This window comes from Homo sapiens, chromosome 20, assembly GCF_000001405.40.
Source record: "Homo sapiens chromosome 20, GRCh38.p14 Primary Assembly".
NCBI classification, from domain to species: Eukaryota; Metazoa; Chordata; class Mammalia; order Primates; family Hominidae; genus Homo; species Homo sapiens.
Window position 1 is genome coordinate 10,747,726 of NC_000020.11, and position 26,422 is coordinate 10,774,147.

The window sequence follows — 26,422 nt, forward strand, 5'->3', positions numbered from 1 at the left end:
AACGAATAGGCAATTATGGTCAATGGACATGAGGTTAATGCAAGGGAAGGCATTAGGAACACTTGGGTCTTATTCACTTTTGGGGACCTGACGAAGGTTTCTTGCAGAAATCTAATCTGAGATCCAAGGAGTAAGTCAAAGTTTATTCAGTGACAGGGAGCAGGAATTAAGTTTAATTATTTTTCCAGGCATATGTGCAGAACGGTGGGGTGGGAGGCCTGAATGTGGGTGAGCACTCACTATGCATGAAGAACTAAAAGAATATTGAAATGACTGACATATGCACTGGTGAGAGATGGTCAAATAAAGTAGGTAGGAGCCAGATTCCTCAGGTCATTGTTGGTGTTGTTCAGCATTTAGAATGTTTTTCTTGCTTTGTCATTGTTTTTAATTGACACTTAATAACTGTACATATTTATGGGGTACAGTATGTTATTTCCATACATGTATACAATATGTAACGATCCAATCAGGGTAATTAGCACGTCCATCGCCTCAAACCTTGATCATTTATTTGTGTTGGGAAGCTTCAAAATCCACTCTTCTAGCTATTTGAAAATATATAATTAATTATTGTTAATTACAGACACTTTATAGTGCTATAGAACACTAGCACTTTTTCCTCCTCTCTCACTATACTTTTGTATCTGTTAGCATTTGAATTCTTACTCCAAGAACAAAGGGGTAACCACAGGGGAAAGAATCACTCAGATTTTGAAATTTCTCTTTGTCTACATTGTAGAAAATGATTTGGAGGTAGGTAAGACCAGAGAATTGAGCAAGGGGAGGATGAAAGGTGAAAGAAGACAGCGCTCTTCCTATCTTGGTGGGCTTGGGGCTGGGTGGTACTGCTGAGTTTGTCCTTTGCCTGGTGTCAACCATCACCATCTATCTCAATGATACCCCAGTGGACTGTAAGGACCCATTATGCCTCTGTCAAATATGAAATATCTAGACCTTTTCAAGTGTCTGTTTTGTTTCCTCAAACCATACCCATTTGGAGGTTAATATGTTGTTGGGTAAAATAATTAAACTTAGCTCCAAGTACAGAGTGAAAGGGAAATTTTTTGTTCTATCATGTTGGGACTTATATAATTTGATGTCTGTTTCATCCTCACCTTTTGAGTTAGTCTTTGCCCTGGAGTCTGAGAGAGTTTTCTCAAAGGAAATCTACAAAAATATTTGTGGATTTAGAAACACTAAAGGGAAGAGAAAATTGTTCTGTAGTTCACGTTCCTGACATTTCAGAAGCTCATGATCCCAGGCTCTCAGGTTACAAAAAGATTTTTTTCTTCTAAACATGTTCCCTTAAGGTGTCAATGGTTGATAATGCGCCCAATAAACATTAATGCATCAAACAAGTACAAACCCTTTTTGACACAGGAACAGAGCTGAAACTGTGGGACCTTAAGCATTAGCAGGCATGGGTGTGTTTTGGAGAGGGAAAAGTCCTCCTGAGATCACATGGGTTTCTGGGTAGAGAGGGAGAGCTAGATTTATCCTGAGTCTTGTGAATTATCTGTTGTGTGACTGAGTTTTGTGGGAATTAAGCCAAATCAAAATAAATAATGCATGTAATGTGTTTAGCACACTCCCCAGTGTGTGGTGGGCATCCAGTAAGCATTGGCTATTATTAAGAGCTATGGAGTCTGGGCCACATGCTACAAGACATTCAGCAGTGAAACTGTTTTGGGTTGCTGTAGAGAGTAGGGATGTATGTTGCATGGGAACAGTCAGGGAGGGAGGTCCATTTTCAGCATCACCCCAGGGTCAGATGTCATGACACAGACAGAGGGACCGAGAGAGAGAGAGCGAGCATGAGCCCCTCCTGTTATTGTCCTAAACCCTCATTCACTGAGGGCAGCCTCTACTCCATTACCGCAGTAAAGGTTCTGCTGTGAAGCCAGATATGCAGCAGCCCTCCCTCCAGCACCTTGCTTTCACAGGATCTGTTTCTTGCCATGCATGCCATAGATTCACAGAGCATTTTATAAATTGAAAAAGGCTATTCAATGGCAAGGTATTACTATTACCGTGTATCCAACTGGTGATGTTATCCCTATAGACAGGATGTGTTAGGGACACCCTGGGTCTCTTCCTCCCCACTCCTTCCCATTTTGAAGTACACATTTATGTTTATCAATTGTTACTATATCCAGAGCCCAGTCTTCTCCTATTTCTCCTACTTGTTCCTTGCCAACAAATTTCATTAAGGCTCTTCTGGGAGACCCAAAAAGTGGTGGGAAGAAAATGCAATTCTGACGTGCAAAGGTGGGATGATGGAAAATCAGGAATCTGTTGTAGAATTTTAATTTAAATATACCATTGTCGTTAAATACACCAATGGCGAGGGGCTGAGTCATTGAGCACTAGAATTCCACATGCATTTGATAATGATGGTTTCTAGTCGGTAATTACGTGGCTGTGGCCCCCATGTTTTTCTTGGAGTCTTTGTGATACTCCCTCAATTTGCTCTTCCTGTACTCACTTCTTGTCTTTCATTCTTGTCCTTGAATATTTTGGGTATATAGGACAAAAATAAGAATGCAAGCAGGCACCCACCAGCATGACAAAAATGAAATAGATGGAAGATGCTTACTGTTGGCAAGGAAGTGGGACAACTGGAACTCACATGCACTGCTGGTGGGAGTATACATTGACACAACCTTTTTGGAAAAATGGTTGCTAGTATCTACTAAAGCTGAAAGTAGCTATGCTATTGTTCAACCAGCCCACTTGTTGGTGTGTGCTTAACAGAACGCAGAAAACAGTCACCAAAAGACACGTAGTAGAATGTTCAAACTCCTCATAACTGGAATTACTCTAATGCCCATCAGCAATAGATTGGATAAATAAATTCTGGCATGTTTGCAAAAATGGGGTGCTATACAGTATTGAGAGTGCATGATATAATTCTAAATTACATGCATCAATATAGATGAATCTTATTTATAAACATAAATGTTGAGCAAAAGAAGCCAGATACATGCACAAAAACTCACACTCTATGACTGTAGTTTGTATAACAAACACCACTGATTTGTGCTGTTAGAAGTCAGGATAGCAGGTCGAATGTGGTGGCTCACACCTGTAATCCCAGCACTTTGGGAGGCTGAGTCATGCAGATTGCTTGAGGCCAGGAGTTCGAGACCAGCCTGGCCAACATGACAAAACCCCGTCTCTACTGAAAATACAAAAATTAGCTGGGTGTGGTGGCAGGTGCCTGTAATCCCAGCTACTTGGGAGGTTGAGGCACAAGAATCGCTTGAACCTGGGAGGCGGAGTTTGCGGTGGGCAGAGATGGCACCACTGCACTCCAGCCTGGGCAATAGAGTGAGGCATAATCTCAAAACAAACAAACAAACAAACAAACAAACAAACAAACAAAAAATAGAAGTCAGGATACTAATTAGTATTGGTGACCAGAAGAAAGCATTCCCGGGGACTTCTTGGGTACTAGTCAGGTTCTGTTTCTTAGTCTGGGTGCTGGTTTTAAGATTGTGTTCAGTTTGTGAAAGTTCATTGGACTGTATGCTTAAGGGTACTTTTTGTATATTGTATTTTAATAAAAAGTTTTTTTTTAATTGGCAAGATTAAATACATTATTTTTGTCATCTTTTCAGCCCTGGACACCATTAGTAATTTTTATGGAACAAAGCTAGCAGCAGAACCAACCAGCTACAGTCCTTAAATTTATACATTTCATACAGAAAATAGTACTTTCCCATCATTATTTCAGAATGGCTTAATCAATATCTTCATCTAAAAGATGAAGCCAGAAATGTCAGCTACACATAGCTGTTGCAAATATTAACTAGCATCTTGTATATAGATATAGTTCCTGGCACTGGCAGGTATTCAGTATGGTGGCAATCCTGAACCCCTGATTCCACTTGGAATGGAAGTCAGGATAGCAGCATTTCTGTGCTAGTCATTGCTCATAAGCTCATGATATGCTTTATATATTTTATCCCATATCAACCCTATGGGGTAAAAATTATTTCCATCGTTACCCAGATAAGGTGACTGAGGGTCAGAGAGCCGGATGGGTAAGGTCACAAAGCTGTAGGAGGCACACTGATATCTGAACTCAGGCCTCTTCCAAAGTTCATTCCACAGGAACACGCCGCCACCCAATTAAGTAGAAAACTACCCGAGTTGTACTTCAATTTCTCTAAACATAGTGGTTTCCTTCTGAGGTAGAAATCATCTGCTCAGCTGGTTTCAGAGTACCATTTTCCTTGTTGAGTTGACTTAGTGGTAAAAGAAATTTTGAATGAAGTGGGCAGAGAGATCCGGAGAACAGCAGGGAAGTCTCCAAGGACCTTGTGATTTTGGGCTCTCACTGTGGGAGTTGTTATGCTTTGCAGTAATTGCATATTGGATACATAATTCTAATTTTCATGGAGTGGGCTGCCCGGACCCTCCAACTTTTAGTGCTTATTGACATATTTTTATACATTTTATCAGTTTAACAACTAAAACACACTTTCCTCTTGCTCAAGAGTTTCCCAGGAGTATACTAGCAAAAGTGGGAGATGCAAATTTGTGAATATCCACTTTTTCCTCCACTGAAAGGAAAATAATAAAAAGTCCAGGTACTGGCCAAAAATAACTATTACTAAAGCAGACCCAGAAGCCCAGCCCAGGCCCTTGCAACCAAGATATGATGTGGTCTGCCCTCTTTGCAAGTTGAACTGTGCCAACATCTGTTGGCTTGTTGCCTCTGACAGCTACATAGAGAAAGACATGGGAAAGAGGTGTGGCAGAAGAACCAATATATGTGGTGCCAAGCATCATTGTAGATATCTGCAAGTTGTATATCATGACTTAATTTAGAAATAAAAACTGAGGTCACAGAGGGTAAGAAACTTGCTTAATGCCACAGAGATGTTAAATGGCAGAATCAAAGTGCAGTCCTATCGCAAGAATTGGCAAACCTTTTCTATAAAGGGGCAGATAATAAATATTTCAGCTTTGTGGGTCATATGGTCTTTGTTGCAATTACTAGTCTCTTCTATTGTAGTGTGAAAGCAGCCACAGATAATATAGAGGAAAGCAGGTGTGGTTGTATTCTAATAAAACTATTTATGAACACTGAAATTTCAAATTTCCTGTAATTTTTGTGTCTTAAAATATTATACTTAAAAATTATATTTAACTCTTTAAAAAATGTAAAGACAATTTTTAGCTTACAGGTATACAGAAACAGGCGGTAAGACATATTTGGCTCATAGGCCATAGTTTAGCTGACCCTTTGTTTTATCTGATTCTAAAGCTCACGCAAGCTGTTTTGACTTAGCAGGTTGTTTAATCTAATGTTCTTTGGAATAAAAACCTCCCTGCCAAGTAGTACTTGGTTTTATGCTCAACATGCTTTGACTGTTGAAAAGAGACCTTTGGCACACATTGAAGGGATGGTGAGTATATATTTGTTTGTGTTTGTGTGTGTGAGAGAGGGGGATAGAGGGAGGGAGGGAAAGAAGGAGGGAGGGAGAGAGAGAGAGAAAGAAAGAAAGAAGGGAGGCGCAAAGAACAGACAACAAAAAGAATTAACTCAATTTTTTATCTTATACCAACAAACAGACTTTGGTGATATTGACTTTTCCGTTTTCAAAATCTAAGATGTCTTGCTGTTTTCTAAAATAAAAGTGACTTAATGTCAACATTAAAATTTATCAAATTTTATCAAATTGGGAGAATTTTGTCATCTGCTTGACATTTGGTAAATGAAATTCAATGGTGCCTAATTAAATATTGTGAATGTTAATACTGAATCAGGGAGGTTTGCAAATGATATCAACTGAGGTTTGTAGATAGTATTGACTGAGGTCCTCCGTGTTATCTCTGCTTCATTAGGTGATGGAGATGCCAATCCATGGAATCAGGTGGCACAGCTATGTTGGTAGCTATAGCAGAAGTCTTCTTGGCAAAGATTCCTCCAGGGAAGGAAGGTACCATTGGAGAACCATGCATGAAGACAGGGAAGAAATGATTGGAATCATGAAACATTAAACTGGAAGGAAGCCCTAGGCAAACCTAACTCATGGGAAAACAGACACCCACATGTTACCCAGTTTAGTACCAAAACCAAGGCTGGTATTTGCATAAATATACTTTTCTTCTCTATCTAATATCAAGGCCTTCTTAGTATTGTTAATAGGCCTTAAGCTTGGTTTGTCTACATAGAAATCAAAATAACAATGTCAACCCATGAAAGAATTAAAAGAAGTCCCAAACAGTTCTGATTTCCTCCAATGTGACTATTTCTGATATATTATAAAATAACAGAAATCAAACTCAAAGAATGAACTTTTTGTCTCTATTTTGCTAATAATGGTTAAAGTAAATGGATGGTCTTTCTAGTCTTTCCCAAAGGCCCCTAGATTAATTGTTAGTGACATTGCTAGGAAACTCCCATGAAATCTTGTAGGTCCATGGAAACCATGCATCAGACTCTAACATATTGTGTAGATCACATGCTATCATGTGAAAATGTTCTGTTCCAAAGTCCCCTGGAATTTGGGATGTATTTTTCCTACAGAACAATGTTCCAAGCAAAGGTCTATTGGATTCCTCAAGTGGCTGACTGCAACGAATGTGCTCAGAAGCTGCTGAGGCTTAAACTTTCAGCCCTTCGAGAGGCAGCTCAAGAGATTGGGAAACTGGAAGAGGCTCTGCTATATCCTGTCCTCCTTTTGGGAGATCTTGGCAGCCCTTGCGTAGAGAGAGGGAGGAGGGTTGGTGGGCATGGGGGTTTGGTGGGGAAGCTAAGGTCCTCCTTTGGAAACAACGGAGGAAGCCTCCATGTTAAAGGGGAAAGGAGGAGACAGGAAACCTCCATTAAATTGTTTATAAGTTGAATTGTTTCTAAAGCCGGAACTGACAACTGTGTTTTTACAAAGTAGAAAAGGATGCAACGAGTTCCACAGCCCTCATTCAGGCATATACAATGCTTAAGAAGATCAGAGTGCAGTTTTCTTTGGGCAGGTAGGTTTCGAAAAAAAAAAAAAAAAGAGTGTTGACACAGTGTATAAATTCTTCCAATTTGAAAATTATTGAGGGTTATTACTGATGCCATTTGAACAGGACCATAACATTCATGGATGGTGGAATGGCTCAAATCACTGCCTAAGCAAGCAATTATTTTGTTTTTGCTTCTGCAGTTAGACAAGGAAGAATGTTTTGCATTCTATCAGCTGGGCTTTTATTGTTTTTCATGTTAGGACAAATGTTCTTTGAGAGGTGGGGTCTTGTTTGAGGAAATGTCAAGCTGTCCAGTTTAGATTTATTGGTGATTGCGGCAGGTGCCAAATGTTTCAAGAAGTTGGCGTATGCACTTTTTTTTTCTCCCCTGGCAGACTTTCCTGGAATCAGGATATGTTCTCTGCAGGAAGAAAGCAAATGTGCTATACTTAAAATTCAGTGTATGACAGAAAAACCTAAAGAAGACTTATAGTAGATGAATTTACATTATCTGAAAGGTATTTTATGCACCAAGTTCCAAAGTTAGAGAAGGCAACTAAGCAAGGGACTGCCACTTAAGACACAGGCATTGTCTATGGAGTCTGGGTGGGCCAAAGAAGCAAGATTTGTGGGAATATCATGAGAGTTCCTGGCTCTAAAATAGTTGCTCTCCAATGTCCAGAAATTCCTGCCTTTGGAATAGTCCTTGGAGAGACAATTTTCTCCAACTTAGACCCCCTTTCCCACTAAGCATCCTCATGAGCAGGTCAAATTCAATGTGAACTTTTGGCAGGGAATCCTTTGGAGGTTTATGTTTTATCTTAAAAATTGGTAGGAACTTTGCATCTTTTCCATCACATATTCATGTTTTATGTAACATAAAATTATCACCCATTCTGCAAATCTTTGAGTGGAAATGAAGCTTCAGGAGGATGGACCGTATCTCTTCCACAGTCCTGGCCACTCTGCAGAATACTCTCTGGTCTTTTCAGGAGGAGGGGGATCCTACTTTGAGAACTAAGGACTTCAGTCATTGTCCAATTGGTAGTCTGGCCATTGTCCTTTGAAAATGTACAAATCCTCTCTTGGAACAGTAATATGTGAGTTTATTTTTACATTAGAAGGAGGTACTTTATCAAAGGAGTTCATTTTCATTTTGGAAAACAATATTCTGGTCTTGGAAAGATTGTAAACCAGAAAATCTTTGGTGATGAAAAAGGGCAAGATTTGAAAGTGTGGGATACTGTGCCGGAAAGGTAACCTTATGTGGGGATGTGGGGAATCTGGGCTGAAGGGGGAGGATTTGGGTGGGGCTGGAGGAGAAGCAGATGCAGAGAAAAAGGAAGGAGGTGTAAGCCACAAGGTTTGCCCGAGGTTTTCTTAATGGCTTTCAATTCTCCCAAATCTATCTGCAATCTCGGTTCCAGTCCTCCGCTCTATTTCCAACTGCTCTGTCCAAGTGGCAGCATCTCCAGCTTGGAGAATCAAGTCAACATGTCTAAAATGCCAACTCACCTGTGAGCAACTCTGCCTACTCCTTATCATGCAGCATTTTCACCTGCTCATTCCTGTGTGGCTTCAGCTCTCACACTGCCAACTATCTGTCTCCCTTTTCCAGCCAGAAACTGGGAAGTCTTTGTCTTTTCCTTCTTCCCAACCTCCCATGCACATGTTTAGTTGATCATGAAATCTAGCCAGGCTTAATGTAACCTTTGAAACATTCTTTTATTCTCTGTAGAAATTACAGTTCCTGCAGGAAACTGAGCACTCAAAGGGCTGAAAGGTAGGGTTTAATGAACAGTTGGCTTTCGAATAGGGAGGAGAAAACTAAGTAACAGTGGCAAGGCTGGATGCAGTGGCTAACATCTGTAATCCCAGTACTTTGGGAGGCCAAGGCGGGTGGATCACCTGAGTTCAGGAGTTCGAGACCAGCCTGACCAACATGTTGAAACCCCATCTCTACTAAAAATACAAAAATTAGCCCGTGTGGTGGCAGGCACCTGTAATCCCAGCTACTCGTGAGGCTGAGGCAGGAGAATCACTTGAACCCAGGAGGCAGAGGTTGCAGTGAGCTGAGATCAAGCTGCTGCACTCCAGCCTGGGTGACGGAGTGAGACTCCATCTCAAAACAAACAAACAAACAAACAAACAAACAAACAGTGGCAAAAGACCCAAGGGCAAGCTGCAGGATGCCTTTACCATCCTTAGGAAAATAAGGTGCAAGGGGTGGCAGTGGAATTCCCAAAAGTACCTGATCTCTAAGCTTGGAGCTGTGGAAGAAGGGCCACCTGATGGGAGCTAAAGCAGGAGATGCAGCCACTGCCAGGACTCTGGAAAGGTGTAGGGGCAGTGAGGGACGAAAGCCAGGGAGACAATCGCCACCATCATTTGCTGTCCCTCTTCTCATCCTCTGATTTCCTGCCAGTGCTTCCAGTTGGCAAAGGCCAACCAAAAATCACAGGGCAAAGGAGCTGTAGGCCATAGATAGGAGGCAGGCTCCTGGGGTAGAAAGAGTGCAGAGAGGGGAGCAAAAGGAATCTGGTAGGGTAAGCAACACATGGAGAATGGCCAGCCCAGATTCAGCCCCTCCCTTCAACACCTGAAAATTCGGCCTGAATTCAAGACCATTATTTCTTTCTTGAATGTCTGGAAAAAACAAACAAATAAACAAACTTCCCAGTGGTCCCAGTTGACTTCAGTGTGTGCTCTAATTTCATTTTATAAACACCATTTCTTAGCAATTTCAATGCTGACAGATGGAGCTCATGTGCCAGCTAACAGGAAAAGAGCATCATCTATGAGCACAATTCCCCACGGCTGGAGCTCCTTGCCTATGTTCCCCCCTCAAGAGCATACATGAGGCTGCAAATCAAACAGATCTCATGTGATGATTAGGGAATTATCTGTATTTCATTAAGAAAAATAACTTGTACACTCGGTTTGAAAAAAGTATTGAAGGCCGGGCGTGGTGGCTCACGCCTGTAATCCCAGCACTTTGGGAGCCCAAGGCGGGCGGATCACGAGGTCAGGAGTTCTAGACCAGCCTGACCAACATGGTGAAACCCCGTCTCTATTAAAAATACAAAAATTAGCCGGGCGTGGTGGTGTGTGCCTGTAATCCCAGCTACTCAGGAGGCTGAGGCAGGAGAATCATTTGAACCTGGAAGGCAGATGTTGCAGTGAGCCGAGATTGCACCACTGCACTCCAGCCTAGGTGACAGAGTGAAACTCTGTCTCAAAAAAAAGTATTGAAAACATATTCTTGGGGCTTAATAGATATTCATAGAGAGTGCCGAACAGATATTTGTTAAAGGGGTGAATGTTACTTGTGACACTCACAATTAGTGGATCTTTACATGTGAATGTGTTGAATACAACCAGACCCCTTTAATTAGACACGCTGTTCTAAAATGAATTTCTAAGGTATGAATCTAATCTAATCACCTCTTGACTTACACAGGCTGGTAGCTTCCCATTGTCAAGAAGTTCTTATCATGGTGGAAAAGATCTCTTCGTCATCTCAACCTCCAAGCCTCACCCTGGTCTTTCCAGGTCTCTTCTCTTACCTATCCTGACACCATCTGTCCCCATCTACGCTAAGATCCTTATCAGTCCTGGAAGAACACACTCAAAGCCAATGATCTTTGCGCCCTCTGTATGTTCTCTCAACACTTAGCATTTTAATGAACATTGGCCCAAATTCCAGCTGCCAGCACCCGACACTCTGCCCAAGGGCTTCTCTGACCGACACAACCCACTCTGCCCATGTGTGGGGAAGGCTTCAAGTGCCAGGAAGTTAATGGCCCCTGGAAGCATCCCTGACCAGTGACTTCCAAGAATGGGTGTATAAATACCTCCACTCTTTCCTCCCTTGGGTGAGATAACTCTGAGGCACGTGTTTGACATTGCTTCATGGAGTTCCCCAGCAGGATTAAGTTCCAGTTGCCCTCAGTGGTAACTCGGGCTTGATTCATCCTTTATTTGCTTCCTTCCTTTCCTGTCTTACTTCCTCACCTCCCTACCAGTGTTCCGGTGAATCACCTTCCAAATAAACTACTCACATTGGAATCCTTGCTTCAGGGTTGGCTTTTGGAGGAACCTAACGTAAAATATTTCAGTATTCTCTTTCAGCTTTTTCTTGCCTTTGCATAAGACATTGTTTGTGTCTGGATTCCCCTTTGTTTCTTTTTAAACAAACATTTAAAATGACACAGGAAAGCACAGGAAAAGAAAGAATAAAATGTTTCTCCTTCATCACCTATTCCCCTCCCTTCTCTCTCTCATCCTGGTCTACTTTCCTTCCCAGAACTAACCACTATTTGGTATACATACCTCCAAATATTTTCTTTATATATACACATTTAAAAGTATGTAGATATACAAATGTAAATACATTTACCAATCTGTGTATACAATGATAAGTGAATTTGAACACATCCTTATACACAGTCCTTTTCACATGAATGAAATCACATTATACATGTTGCATTGTGACTTGTTTTTTTTTCAATAATACAATACCCTTAGATTCCATAATATAGTGTGATATACTATAATTATTGAAACATTTCTCCTATTGATGAACACTTAGGGTCCTGATACTTTTTCCACTGTTATAAAAAAATGCTGCAATGACTATGTGAGTGCATATATCTTGCACACATGTGCTGGCCATCCTGTAGATGAATGTGTCTGTTTGAGCTTTTTAGTTTTCAGCAATAGAAAACCCAACCTCGGCCGGGCGTGGTGGTTGACGCCTGTAATTCCAGCACTTTTGGAGGCTGAGGTGGGCAGATCACCTGAGGTCAGGAGTTCCAGAGCAGCCTGGCCAACATGGTGAAACCTCATCTCTACTAAAAATAGAAAAATTAGCCAGGCCTGGTGGCGGGTGCCTATAATCCCAGCTACTTGGGAGGCTAGGGCTGGAGAATCCCTTGAACCCAGGAGGAGGAGGTTGCAGTGAGCGATCCTGCCACGGCACTCCAGCAGGGGTGACAAGAATGAAACTCTATTTCAAAATAAAGAAAAAAAAGAAAAAAAAAGAAAACCCAACCTCAACTAGCTTAAGCAAAAGCAAATTTATGTGGTGAAAGGGTGGATCTGGTTTTAGAATCAGTTACCAAGGGCTCAAGAAGTGTCACAGGGACTGATCCCCCCACCCCCCCGTCCCCCATGTCGTGTCATTCTCCAGGTCTTTCCTTTTCATTGCCAGGAGCTCCAGGTTTCTACCCTCAGAACTCCAAGGCCATTGGAAAACAGAGGGCAGTTTTCTTAGTTGCCCAAGGAAATGTTCCCAAATTGTATCAAAAGCCCACCTCTAGGTTAATTATTGTGGCTGGAGGATGTAATCCATTCATAGGTCAGGGCTGGCCAGGTGTAGTGGCTCATGCCTGTAATCCCAGCACTTTGGGAGACTGAGATGGGTGGGTCACTTGAGGTCAGAAGTTCGAGACCAGCCTGGCCAACAGGATGAAACCCCGTCTCTACTAAAAATACAAAAATTAGCCAGGCATGGTGGCGGGCGCCTGTAATCCCAGCTGCTCGGGAGGCTGAGGCAGGAGAATGGATTGAACCCAGGAGGTGGAGGTTGCAGTGAGCAGAGATCACGCCACTGCACTCAAGCCCAGGCAACGAAGCGAGACTCCTTCTCAAAAAAAAAAAAAGAGAGAAACATAGGCTAGGACTAGGCATATGCCATGCCTTGTGACATAAACTGGACATGGGGAAGGGGAGTGATTCCCCAGTGTTAGTTAGCCTTGCTCTTGTCACTAGAAGGAGGAAGGAATGCTGTGTGGCAAGGAAAGGAATTAATGTCCACTTGAGATGGATTTGAGAAGGATGTCTGCAAGCAGAAATAAAGGGTTAAAGGGTGCTTACATTAAAAATTTTGATAGCTACTGCTCTCAAAATTGTATCGCGATTTATATTCCCAGTGCCAACAGTGTTTGAAGAGTCTGGCTCTCCAGAGCCTGTAGACACTGGATATTGTCAGTGTTTTAAATTTCAGCAGATCTGATATCTAAAAATGGTATCTCACTGTTCTAAACTGTTCTAGTATGGTGTTCTACGTGAACACCCTTTCATGTGTTTAGCTGGCCTTTGCATTTCTTTTTTTTTTTTTTTGAACTGCCTATGCATATCTTTTGGTCAAAATTCAATTGAATTGCCCTTTTTTATTGTTAGAGCTGCTACAAACATTACTGAAAAGGCAACTCAGTTGTGTGTGTGTGTATGCACACACATATATATTTATAATACATATGTTACTTAGGGTTTGTACCAGCTCTATGAGCTCCTTGAGGGTGGCACCTTGCTGTAATACAGCCTGACACCTAATACGAAGTAGAAATCAGTGATTATTTATCACGCAAATAAAGAAACAAATAAGTGAACGAATGAATGAGTCAATAGTGTTGACTGCCTTGTATTGTCCTAGGCCCAAGAGACAGTGAAATATCCCTGTTCTTGTATACTTTTCTGTAAGTTTCTGGAAGTTTCTCTGTAAAGCATCTCAGTAAGCTTTTCTATAGGCTGTGAGAAACGCATGAGTCAGGCTAATAGGAGGCATATAATTTTGAATTGCTTTTCAGAAATGGCCTTCATATTCCTTTACACTCACTCATCCTGTTGATAAGAGCAGATGGCCTACTGCATGTGACTCAGACTCAAACACACACCTCCGCTCCCTTGAAGTGCCAGCCCTGGAGCTTTGTTGAGGCTCGCATCTGCCACGGGAGTCAGCTAGTACGTTGCCCAGTTCAACATCCATCCAGGATTTCATAGGAACTTGAGAATCATTGTTTTTGGCTTGAATCCTGGGTTTGAGGTTTCTTCGTGTAGGAATCTGAAAAAAGGATTTGGAAACGTTGTTGTCTCTAATCCCAAAGTATGTATCTGGGAGGCTGCCTTCGCCATCACCCACCTAATAACTCAGGCTCCCGGGGCCATTTCGCTCAAGTGCATTCATTCCTTTGGTAGAATCAAAAGAAACTGATCCAGGTGACAGAGTACCTGGGTTCTAATCCCAGTTTTGATGAGCAAGTTATTTACCCCTTACAGCCCCATTTTCCCTATTCTAAAATGATATGGTTGCAACTGACGATCTCCAAGTCTCCGTCCAACTCAACAATTCAGAGTGGAATTCTGAATTCTGCTCTGCCACCAACAGCATGTCCTCGGAGCTTTGCCTATTACTCATGAGAATGTCAACGTCTGGGTAAATAGATATTTTGGGGTCAGCTCTAAAAAACCCAGAAGTACGTATTGTATGTTGATTTTGGCACACGGACAAGCCTGAACAGGGCTGTGTCAAGCCTTTTACCATGATAGCTGCCGGAAGAAAGGCCAGGCGAAGCAGTCTGGGTGAGCTGCTTGGAATGAAGAGGACCAGCCCACATCCCATGGCACAGATGACCTTCAGGAGAAGTGGAGGGGAGCAGCTAATGTAAAGAAATCATTAGCATCTGTGTTGGAAATGGCTTATGACACTGTCTCAAAGCCACGTTCTCAGACAACAGGGAAAGCTGTAAATAGATGCACACAGTTATCCAAGCATAGCAGAGTAAAACTAAAGGAAAGCCAAATTAAACAGGCTCAACCAAAGTTTTGAGTGAAAGTGTTGAATATTGCTCATGCCTTCAGAACGGGAAGCTCTGTTTAGAATACTCACAATGGTGGGTCCTCTTGAGGTGACTACAGGCTGGTAGGTCGGTTCTATCCTCCCCCTAGGAGCCATCTCAGCAAAGAAGAATCAGAGGCAAAGACTCTTTCAAAGCAAGGACCTCACACTGTGAAGGACTGGGAGCATTGCTTGATTGCTACTCAACTGGCAAAAGTTTTTAAAAAGCAAGTTAGGCCCCAAGACCACATGACTGAGAATCCTAACACATAACTGAGAATTATAATAACATGATGGATTCTCCTTGAAAAATATATTTCGTATTTTGGCATAATTTCAAACTTACAGGAAAGTTGCAAGAATTGTACAAATGATTTTTGTGTATGCTTCATACCCACATTCTGCATTTTACCAATTCTTTTTTCCCTTCCTCCCTCTTTATTTCATATATATGTTATATATATATATATATATATATGTGTGTGTGTGTGTATATAGACACACACACATATATGTAACAGTTCTTGGGTATGTGTGTGTGTGTATATATATATATATATATATATATATATATAATGTATATTTCCCACAGAACTGTTTGGCAATAGGTTGCAGACATGATATCTTAAACATTTCAGTGCATATTTTCTAAAAACAAGGACAGTCTTTTATATAACTGTAGTACCATTACCAAAATCAAAAAATTAATATTGCCATAATATTATTATCCAGTTCATAGACTTCATTCACTTCCCCGACTGTCCAAAAATAAATATTTTATAGCAAAAGAAAGTCCTAGACTACATGCTGCATTCAGTTAACACGTCTTTAGTTGTTTTTTCTTTTATTTTAATCTGGAAGTTTCTCAGTCTTTCTTTGTCTTTCATGATATTTTTGATGAATACAGGCCAGATACTTTGTGGAATGTCCCTCAATTTGGGTTTGTCTGATGTTGTGGAATTTCCTTTTAGCTCTATAAGCTGCCTCCTGAAATACAAATGCCTAGTTAGGATGTGACTGGCTGCAGGAAACAGTCTCTCCAGCCTAGCAGGCTAGAGCTCATGCAAACTCCCCTTTGCCCCATCTTGGGGATTTCCTCCCTATCCTCTTCAAACATGGTTTCTCTCTCTGCAAGAGTTGTGGGAAAATCTGATACTTTGCTTGTTGGAAATTAGACTTATATTGTTTCCCACAGACATCGTGTTGGATGTGACAGATGGGTTGATTCTTCAGTTTTATCAGTGTTAAATTGTAGGAGCACTAAATATGCGTTACAAGCAGATGGGAATAGATTTATGATGTATAGCTTAGATTCTATGGAAAAATAAACTTTAGGCTGTAAACAAATCTATGTACAAATTAACTTTTGCAACAAGATGAGCTCTTTGTTGGCAGCTTCTGTTTGTTTGAAAGTTGTGTTTGCTATAATGTGGTTCAATCTTTGTCTCCACTTGGATGGGTTTCATTATTTAGGCCTCCAAATAGCCTTACTTTAAAGTCTCCCCTATAGGTTAGTCCTATGGCATGAAATCTGGAAATAATAATGTTGCAAAATTTCAGTAAATCTAAATATGATTTATCACTCATCCCCACATGTCATTGTCAAACCAAGAAGATGAAATAAGAGGAGATAGTATGGAATGAGAGAACTACTCAAGGTGTTCCACCTGTTTTTTGATAGACAATTGAAGGTTTTCCTTAGTTTTTTCCTAAGGACTGAGACATTTCTGGACAAACCTGCCAGTCAGCTGAGAAATTTTCCTGAGAACCGGGGATCAGACTCTTAGAATTGCAGTAATTGTTACAAATTGCAATCAAATCTGGGAACTCTTAAAGATGTCATCCCTGAAATAAACCTCAGTAAATTTATCTAGGTTGAAAGGGAATCTCCAGCTTTACTCAGTAATAAGAAGTTGACACATATACATACTTGAATGAATAACTTAATTCTTAGGAGACACTTAAATAAGAATTATTTCTGTTATTGAAACACAGTTCCAGTTACAGGGTCTTTGAAATCATGAGAGAGTTGTACAGTTATATTTCTGTATAGTGTGAAGAGCTATCTTATTTTTTGCAGATTACTTACTTTGTTAATATACCTCCCCCTCCTTTAACCAATTGGTCCATTATTATTGTAAGCGTATTACAAAGAATACTCTTTTGGAAGTCAGAAGAATGATACCTAATCTTTAATTTCTTATCAGGAACTAGTTTTTCATTGTATGATGGACACGATGTAACCCCTAAAGACAGAAAAAGAAGTGAAAAATAGTCCTCATTCTCATGGATTTATAGCTGTAGTAGAAGAAAAGATAGATTAAAAAGGGCATAAGTTCCTCTAATGTTTATTGCAATGTGAAGCTAGATAGAAAAATAGAAGAAAACAGAGAGAATCATGATCATGGCAATAAAGAGAGAGTAGCTAACTCAGCTGGAATTGGCCTGGAGAAAACGATGGTGAGAACTCCCGGAGAACGTTAGAACTGAGCTGAAGCTTGCAGAATGCATAGGAGTCTGGCAGGCAGATGAGGCAGGGAGGACATTAAAGGCAGGAGGAATAGCACATGATAGTGGGCTGCAGGCTGGGCTGTAGTTTGAGGGGCTGTAATTCAATACAGGCGGATGCAGGGGAAAAGCAGGCGGTGAAGTGAAAAATTAGTAAAGGGAAGATCATGCAGAACCTTGCAGATCATGTAAGGAGCTTGGAATGTCATCTCCATATTATTCAATCATCAGACGGACTTCAACAAAAAAGCCACATTATTGAATGGCAGAGGTTGGAGGGGACAGAGACTGGAGGCAGGCACAGCAGTAGGGCACTGTCATAATAAAATATTGAGCAGTGATAATGACTAACCAGGGGTCCCCAGCCTTCGGGCCACAGACTGGTGCAGGTCCATGGCCTGTTAGGAACCGGGCAACACAGCAGGAGGTGAGCTTCGGGCCAGTCAGCATTACCGCCTGAGGTCTGCTTCCTGTCAGATCAGCAGCGGCATTAGATTCTCATAGGAGCACAAACCCTACTGTGAACTGCGCATGGAGGAATCTACGTGGCGCGCTACTTATGAGAGCTACTACTGCCTGATGACCTGAGGTGGAACAGTTTCATCTGGAAGCCTTCTGCCCCCACCAACCCCAGCCATGGAAAAAAAAGTGTCTTTCACAAAACCAGTCCCCTGGTGCCAAAAAGGCTGGGGACTGCTGGCCTAAACTGAGATGATGGGCCTGGGAATGGAGGAAGTGGTATAGATGAGAAGAATGTTTCAGAGATGGACGTATTAAGATTTGTTGACAGATGGGATGTGATGTTTATGAGGAAGCATCAGCTAAGAATGACTTTAAGATTCAGCCTTGGGTGGCTAGGAGGGTGATGGGCATATTCCTTAAAATAGGGAATCTACTGGTCGGGCGCAGTGGCTCACGCCTGTAATCCCAGCACTTTGGGAGGCCGAGGCGGCCAGATCACGAGGTCAGGAGATTGAGACCATCCTGGCTAACATGGTGAAACCCTGTCTCTACTAAAAATACAAAAAAAAAAAAAAAAAAATTAGCCGGGTGTGGTGGCAGGTGCTTGTAGTCCCAGCTACTCAGGAGGCTGAGGCAGGAGAATGGCATGAACCTGGGAGGCAGAGCTTGCAGTGAGCCAAGATTGTGCCACTGCACTCCAGCCTGGATGACAGAGACTCTGTCTCAAAAAACAAAAAACAAAAAACAAAAAAACGGGAATCTACTGAGCACAGTGGCTCATGCCTGTAATCCCAGTGCTTTGGAAGGCCATGGCGGGTGGATCACAAGGTCAGGAGTTCGAGACCAGCCTGGCCAACATGGTGAAACCCCATCTCTACTAAAAAATACAAAAATTAGCCAGGTGTGGTGGTGGGTGCCTGTAATCCCAGCTACTCAGGAGGCTGAGGCAGAAGAATCACTTGAACCCGGGAGGTCGAGGTTGCAGTGAGCTGAGATCGCACCACTGCACTCCAGCCTGGGGGACAGAGCAAGACTCCATCTCAAAAAAAAAAAAAAAAAAGTTGATTGGAGGATAAGAAAAATGATATGCTCAGAATTTTGTAAATGTGGATTTTGATGTACCCAGGGAACATCCAAGTGATGATATTCCATAAGAAGTTGAAAGTTGGGTTCCAGATTGCAGAACAAATTAAGACATCTGGGGCCAGGCATGGTGGTTCACACCTGTAATTCCAGCACTTTGGGAGGCCAAGGTGGGAGGATTTCTTGAAGCCAGGAGTTTGAGACCAACTTGGGCAACATAGTGAGACCCTGTCTCAAAAAAAAAAAAAAAGAGCCAACCATGATGGCTCATGCCTATAGTCCCAGCTGCTCAGGAGGCTGAGGTAGAAGAATTACTTGAGGCTGGGAGTTTGAGGCTTCAGTGAGCTATGATTGTGCCACTCCACTCCAGCCTGGGTGACAGAGACCTTGTCTCAAAAATAAAAATGAAGATAAGACATCTGGGAGTCATTGGTACATAGGTGATAATAATAAAACAAATAGGAACAGATGAATCCAGGAAGGTCTGTAGCATGAGACAAGAAGGAAACAGAGAACAAGCATTCACAAGTGGGATTAGGAGGAAGATTGTGCCAGGAGGAAACTGGAAAGAAGCAGGGAGAGAGGTAGGAGAGTAGTCAGGAGAGACGGCTCACATGGAAGAGAGTGAAGGAGCAAGTGGTCAAGGTCTCTTGAATACAGAGGGGTTCTTACAATGAGATACAATCAACACACTTTGAGAAATAATACTTTATTTAGGGAAAATATCTGCTTGCTGTATTTTTCTGAAGATTTTGTTTACAGAAGAGCAAGCTCTCCAGCAGCTATATGTTTTAGGCAATGTGGCTCTCGAATCTTCATTCTGTCCAAGTACATTCACGTGAGGGTGCTGCCGTCTTTTGTAGGCCTGTCCCAAGGCCGGCTGCGACTTTGCATTTTCGCCTGGCTGTGTCTATATCTTTTAAAAGCCAGCAATTTCCACAGGAAAATTCTGCTGTAGAATATTGAGGAGAGGGCTTGGTAAAAGCTGGAATGAATGGTGTGTGTGTGAATGGTATTCCCCAGCATGCATGGACCTGGCTGGGGATGGGGGATCTTCCATTTGCGGCAGGGAGGAGGCAAGAATAAACATGAGATTTATTCCATATCATTACCTTTCCTCCTTGACTCTATTTCAGGCTGCATGGAATAATGTCTATAATCAATTTCAAAGCCTCTCAGGAGTGATGAGTAAGTACCGGCTATACTTAGGGCATATCATCTAATATCTCTCCTGAAGTGACTAGCAATGTTACTATTTTCTCATGATTCCTTCAAGTATATTATATTTCCATCATATACATGTACAGTAAAACTTTTCTTTTTTTCTACCTACATACATAATATACTATAATATTCCCCCCCCCTTTTTTAATAGTACATCCTGATGGTTTGTTCCATTCCAGTACAGGTAGATTGCTTCATTCTTCTTAATGATTGCATGTGATCCTATTATATAGATGACCATAATTATTTAGCCAGTTTTTTATTCATAGATCACATGGATTAGATTGCTTCCAGTATTATGATATTACAGGTAATGCTATAGTGTCTTATTTTACACAGGTGCAGGTATATCTGTAGAATAAATATCTAGAAATGTTATTGTTGGGCCAAAGGGTACATAAAATTTTAATGCAGAGATATCTGAACAGGTTTGAAAATGGTCAGAATGAAAGGCGATTGGTTGGGACCTAATGCCTCACTTATTACTCACTAGAGATTGTAGGATGTCATCACTGTAAGCAGATGTGTGGCCACAGTTTTGTGTACTCAAGTTCAGTAAAATCAAGGCATAAGGCAGGACCGAAGTAGAATAGAACAAAACTCTTCTGAACATGGTGACCCCAAGACAATTGGCCATTGTGTGGCAGTGTTCCTGAAGATCTATGCCTAGCCAATGATATGGTCCATGAGGTTGCATGTGAACTTTGTATGTCAGATGCCTGACTCCTGATATATGCTCAGCCCTCTTCTTGTTTAGATAGGAGGCTCCATCAACTCCTACCCTAGTAATGTGTAGTCCCAGGCCTGGGAGCCAGGTCATGGATTAAATTATTAAGTTGAAACTGTCAGAGTGAAGGAGCAAGTTATGAGATTAGTTAAGTAGCATATCAAAGCCAGAGTGGTAACAATGAAAGTAATCCTCCATTCATATAAGAGCCCAATGTCTCTGTAGCTTCATTTTCCTACCTCTTGCCTTCTTCCCACCAACAAAGAGTTGAGATAGAAAATGTAAGAATTGGATGTCATAAAATCAAGAAGGTTTTCTGTTCAAGATGTTCCATTCCTTGCAATTAACTCCCATTGGAGCCCAATACCATAATAACGTTTCCTGTGCCAGAGTCCCCAAAAAGTAGGTGATGTTCCCATGGAAGATTAGTTGTTTGTTTCAACAGGGAAAGAGAAGTAAATCTAAGGCACCACCTCTGGCAGCAGGACACCCCCTTCTCCTGCCTCTTGCATTTTAACACATAAAGCAGATAAGGTGGAGGAGAGAATGGGGCTGGAGGAGAATGTTCGAGTTACCCAGAGAAGACATGAGCAAGTAGAGCAAAGAAAGAACTGTGACCTCCCAGTCACCCATATTTATTCCTTTATCAAAGAACGCAGGAGTTAGACTTCTCTTTTCCTGATCTATTGTTTCTGGAGCTCAGGAAGTACAATGCACCATGGCAAGTCAGAGTCATGAGTTTCAATTCCACCTTCCCCATTATCTGGCTAAGCAATGGTGGACTTAATCCAACGAGGTTCAGAGTCTACATTTATAAAACAGGGGTTATATCAGTACTTATGCCTCAAAGATAACATAGGTAGAGATTTGGCATACTGCTTGGCACATACTAACCAGTCAATGACTGTTAGATATTATCATTAATACTAATCCCACAGAGTCAGTTGGGTTGCAAACTGTTTTGCACCAAAGTCAACATTATAGCACCCACTGTCACAATCCTTTGGGCAGCATCATCTCTTTGCATCATCCTTGTTGGATCATGTGTGGTTCCCATATGTGCAAACACAGTCCAGGTAATTGCATTACATGGCAGAGAGACTCAATGCATTGCACACAGCTGGAAGCTAGGCTACTCATTTTTAAAGTGAGCTCCTTGGCTAGCAGCATTAACATCACCCAGTTACTTGTTAGCAAATTCTCAAAACCTGCCCCACACCTCCTCAATAAAAAATCTCTGGGCGTGGGGCCCAGCAACTTGTGTCTTAGCATCCCTTACCCTTGCCAGACCCCAGGTGATACTGATGCATGCGAAAGTGTGAAGACCACTGATCTAGACTGTGGGATGCCATTGAACCTCTCTACTTCACCAAGGAAGAGCTAGAGGGGAAGCAGAAATTCAAAATGGCTGGTAGCTCAGGGACAAATTTGGGTGAATGGCTTAACAGTCTTGCCTATTCTTGAATGTTCTCCTCTTTGGCTGGGAACGGCCTGTCAGGCTGCAGATATTTCCTTTCCTCTTTCTCTCACTGCTTATCTCCCACAAGACACAAGATAGTTCCTGCCCAGGCATCTCAGATTACCATTCCTTCCTGAAAGCCAATTAAAGGTCTCTAATCCCTCCTGTGTTTACCTAAAGGATGAATTTGATCGGAAAGGATGAATGGAAAGGGCAAAATCCTAGAAGGGCTGGGAAAGAAAGTTTCTGCTCCAGTGGTGGGAACACACCCTTTCTCACTAAGCTTATTATGTACTGGTGCATTTTTTGAATTACAATTCTCCATCAGCCTGCCCCTTTTATTTGAAGCCCTCAGTTGTGATTTCCAATGCAGCTTCTGACTTTGCCCTTGGTATTCATACTTTTGAGAGTCTGTTCCCTTCATTAACATCTCAGGGACCCCCAAAGTAATACTTTGAACCACGTGACATATCCGTTTTGTGAGTTGAAAGCAGTTGGATATTAACAATTTCTTATAATTCAACTTCATGTACCCACTCGAGGTCTCTTATTTGGGACACATCATTCTGCCTTAGTCCGAATTGAAGGCAGCTGAGTACTTCTGGGAACGGCAGATCATCTTCTTTCAAGACTACCTAGAGTTTGCCACTTTTTGGCTGGGATCCTTGTATAAGTAAGTAAATCTCCCAAGCCTCACTTTTATCATCTGTGAAGTGGGGATGCTATTATCTTCTTTATAGGTTGATGTATGAGTAAATGAGAAATCAGGCATAGAGTGTCTGATATGGTGTCTGAATTGTAGTTTTTTTTTTACAACCTTTAGTATCCTTCTTTAGCGAGGCTGGAGGTAACACTATCGTGCTAAAACTTGATCCATACCTTTCCTGCTAACTCTTAGCCTCGTCCTACATATCTATTGGTGGTGAGCCTCCAAGTTACTACCATTACTCACCTGAAAATGGGTAGGCCTGGGCTTTTTTAAAAGGCCCTTAATTAGTACCTTTTTTTATGAGATGGTAAGACAAACGTTTTCCCTGCCTTAAGTAACCATTATTATTCTCATTTCAAAGGTGTGTCAGATTTATTTATTTACGTGTTTTGGAATCTTAGTAGGAGAAGAGAAGGCAGCCCAGTAAATGGATGCAGATTGTTCTGGCCTCATCGTCAACTGCATTGTGCAATCTTAGAGAAATGACTTACCTAACTCTGATGTCTCCATTTTCCTATTCTGTATGTGAGGATTATGTATATGCCTTGCTGAGGATGGAAGTGCTAGACAGAGCTAGTGTTTCATAAAAATGTTTTGAGCTTTTGGAATGCAGAGGTGTTATATATATACAAGGTATTACTGGATTGAGTAAGGATTATCATTATTCTTTGGCAATAGCCATGACATCAGGAAAACATATCTTCTATCATAGTTCAAAGGCAGAATGAGAAAAGAAAACATTTTTTTTTTTTTCAGTAGAAAAGTCATCAGAAAGATGTTTTGGAGGGTGTAATAGGAATATTCTCAATGGCATTTAAGAGCAAGGTTTAGAGCTATCTGTACTTGTCGCTTCCTCCAGTACACAGTGGTATAGCAGTCCTGATGGATTGTCTTTCTGGCTAATTGTTAGATGTTAAAAAAGGTAAGCGGAACCTGATACCTTGTAAGTTGGACTGTTGACAAGAGACCCTGTGACTTTTCAAAGATGAGTGTTGATTGGAAATTTGCATGTGTTCCCAGACATTCTTGTTTATGGAATTACCCTATTCTTGGAAGTAAAAAAGGAGAAACAATTCAATGTTCCCATTGACAAAATGGATTGCTCTATGCTTGTAAACTGTGCTGTAGCTTATTCATATACTGAGAGTTGAATAATGACAGGGGTATGATGTCATGCATGAGCAGTGAATTGGGGAGGCTCACTTTCCTTAGTGTGAAGTTGTTTGTATTTGCAGAGAGATGGGGAAAGTGATGTTTGAATGGGAGAACTGGAATCTGGGGTCTTGATTTTTTTTTCTTGCTAAGTTAAAGTGCTTGTAGCTTTTTCTTTATATCAAACTATACAGATGAAACCCACACATATAAAGAAAATCATATGGAACTGGCAAACAAAAGATATTCAGTGACTCAGGTTTCTTTGTCAACTTTTGCCACCCACCATGACAAGATCAACAGGCTTTGCTGTGTATAGACGTGTATTCTGAATTCCTTCCTCCCTTAAAAACATTCCATTGCCACTGATATCTCCACTCATGGGGCAGATATCCAGTAATCCCATGGATATTCTTGATTCTTCCTTAATAAGTAAAACTGTAAGTATGGCCTAGTCTTTCTCCACTTTCTGCTTTCTTGTTCATTACTGTAATTGCATGTTTACATCTGGAGCCCTGGGTTTTTGTGTTTACGTAGTTATGCACAAGCCTGAGCAGATCTGCAAAACAAAACAAAAAACAAAAACAAAAAACAACAACAACAGAGCCCTCAACCAATTATATGCTAGTTCTTGTCCCATTCTTTTTTCTCTTATGGGGAAGGCAGGTAATCAGGATTACTAGTGGCTGCCTTGGAAGTGATACGTTAAGCAAATGAAAAGTCAATTAATACCTTTACTGTCTAACCCTAAGGCAAGTCATGATTGAAGAATTTCATAGTTACGTATTTGACACCAGCACAATAGTAATTAAAGATATTTTCTTGCATTTTTAATTTGATAAATGCCAGTTTTCTGGTGTGAGTCTAACTAGATTGTGGCTTCCCTAGAGGTGATTTGATATGAAATAATTTTTTTGACATTTTGCCTTGATTAGAGATATAGGAACTAAATTGCGAAGTATGATCAGGTGGATTCTGCCCTAGAACTGCCTTTTTCTTTGCAATTCTCCAAAATACCTCACAGCTGAAGTAGCCATGTGGCCAGGACAGAAAGCTTGAGTTAGCACAATTATTTCAGTTGTCATTGGAGCAGTTTGAGTTGAGAGGTTTTTTTATTGTTAATAATATCTGTCTGAAGACATCAGTGTAACCCAGGATGGCGTGCCATTGCACATATTTACCAGGTTTTCTAAATGCACCTTAGTCAGAAGAAGTTGTTGCTCAGTCTTGGGAATCGTGGTAATTTATGGGTGGCAGCTCAGTCCAAACCAGCTTTTCGCCTCTCTATGCTGGTTTGAGCTCTTTTGTGTCAATGTAGCCTTCCTTTCCTTTTATCTTCTGAGGTATAATTCAAGGTTTGTGGTTTTCTGTTGTGTTTTGCGTTAGTTTTGTAATAAACATCACTTCAGAGAAGGCTGATTAACATGGGAACTAAATGTCCATTTTCAGCTAGACTGCCTTAATTTAAATCCCAGTTTTAACACTTGGGAGTTGACTGTCTGATATGGTTCAGGTATTTGTCTCCTCTAAATCTCATGTTGACGTGTGATCTCCAATGTTGGAGGTGGGACCTATTGGGAGGTATTTGGGTCTTAATGATAGATCCTTCATGAATAACTTGGTGCTCTCTTTAAAGTAATGAGTCAGTTCTTGCTCTGTTAGTTCCTATGAGATCTGATTGTTAAAAAGAGTCTGGAACCTTCCTCCTCCCTCTTTCCTCATCTTTTGCATGTGATGCCTACTCTTCTTCCCCTTATGCCACGAGTGGAAGCTTCTTGATGCCCTCATCAGAAGCAGATGCTGGCACCATACTTCTTGTACAGCCTGCAGAACTGTGAGCCAAATACACTTCTTTCCTTTATAAATTAGCCAGCCTCAGGTATTCCTTTATAGCAACACAAATGAACTAAGACAGTGTCCTTGGGCAAGCTACTTCAGTTTCCTCATCTGTTGATGGGGATGATGGAAAGAGTGACATCAGCAAGATGGCAGAATAGGAGTTTCCAGTGCTTGTCCCCATATTGAAATATCAATTTGAAGAATTATTCATATGCAAAGATAACTTCACAAAAGCTGAGGAATCTAAGTGAGAGATTACAGCACAGCACGTGGGTGGAGCACAGGAATAAGAAAAGCTGCACTGAGGAGAACAGGAAGGACAGTTTCACATTACCTGCATCACTCCTACTCCTTTGCATGGGGGTTGGAGAGTGAGGCAAGCACCTGACTTCTCTAACTCCAGCACAGGGCCTATCTCAGTAAAACCTAGCTGGCCTTCTTAGATCCAGGCTCCAGGCCCACCCCAGTCTTCAGGCTGGCCCTGCAGATCCAGGATCCAGACCTGTCCCAAGACCAGGCTCCCATGGCCCCAGGTTCCTGTGGGCCTCAACAAAATACTAGCAAATTGAATTCAACAGCACAATAAAAAGATAATCAAGTGGAATTTGTCCCTGGGATGCAAGGATGGCTCTACATATGTAAGTCAATAAATGTGATACACCACATTAACGGGAT

The 26,422-nt window shown here is 41.4% G+C and overlaps 1 long non-coding RNA gene across 1 annotated transcript; it reads left to right on the top strand.

Moving 5' to 3' along the window:
• The first annotated feature begins 5,364 nt into the window (after positions 1–5,364).
• Positions 5,365–6,302, top strand: LINC01752 (long intergenic non-protein coding RNA 1752). The gene is made up of 2 exons (NR_110611.1): positions 5,365–5,420; positions 5,860–6,302. It is a non-coding gene; the product is annotated as a long intergenic non-protein coding RNA 1752 (long non-coding RNA).
• Positions 6,303–26,422: the final 20,120 nt, after the last annotated feature.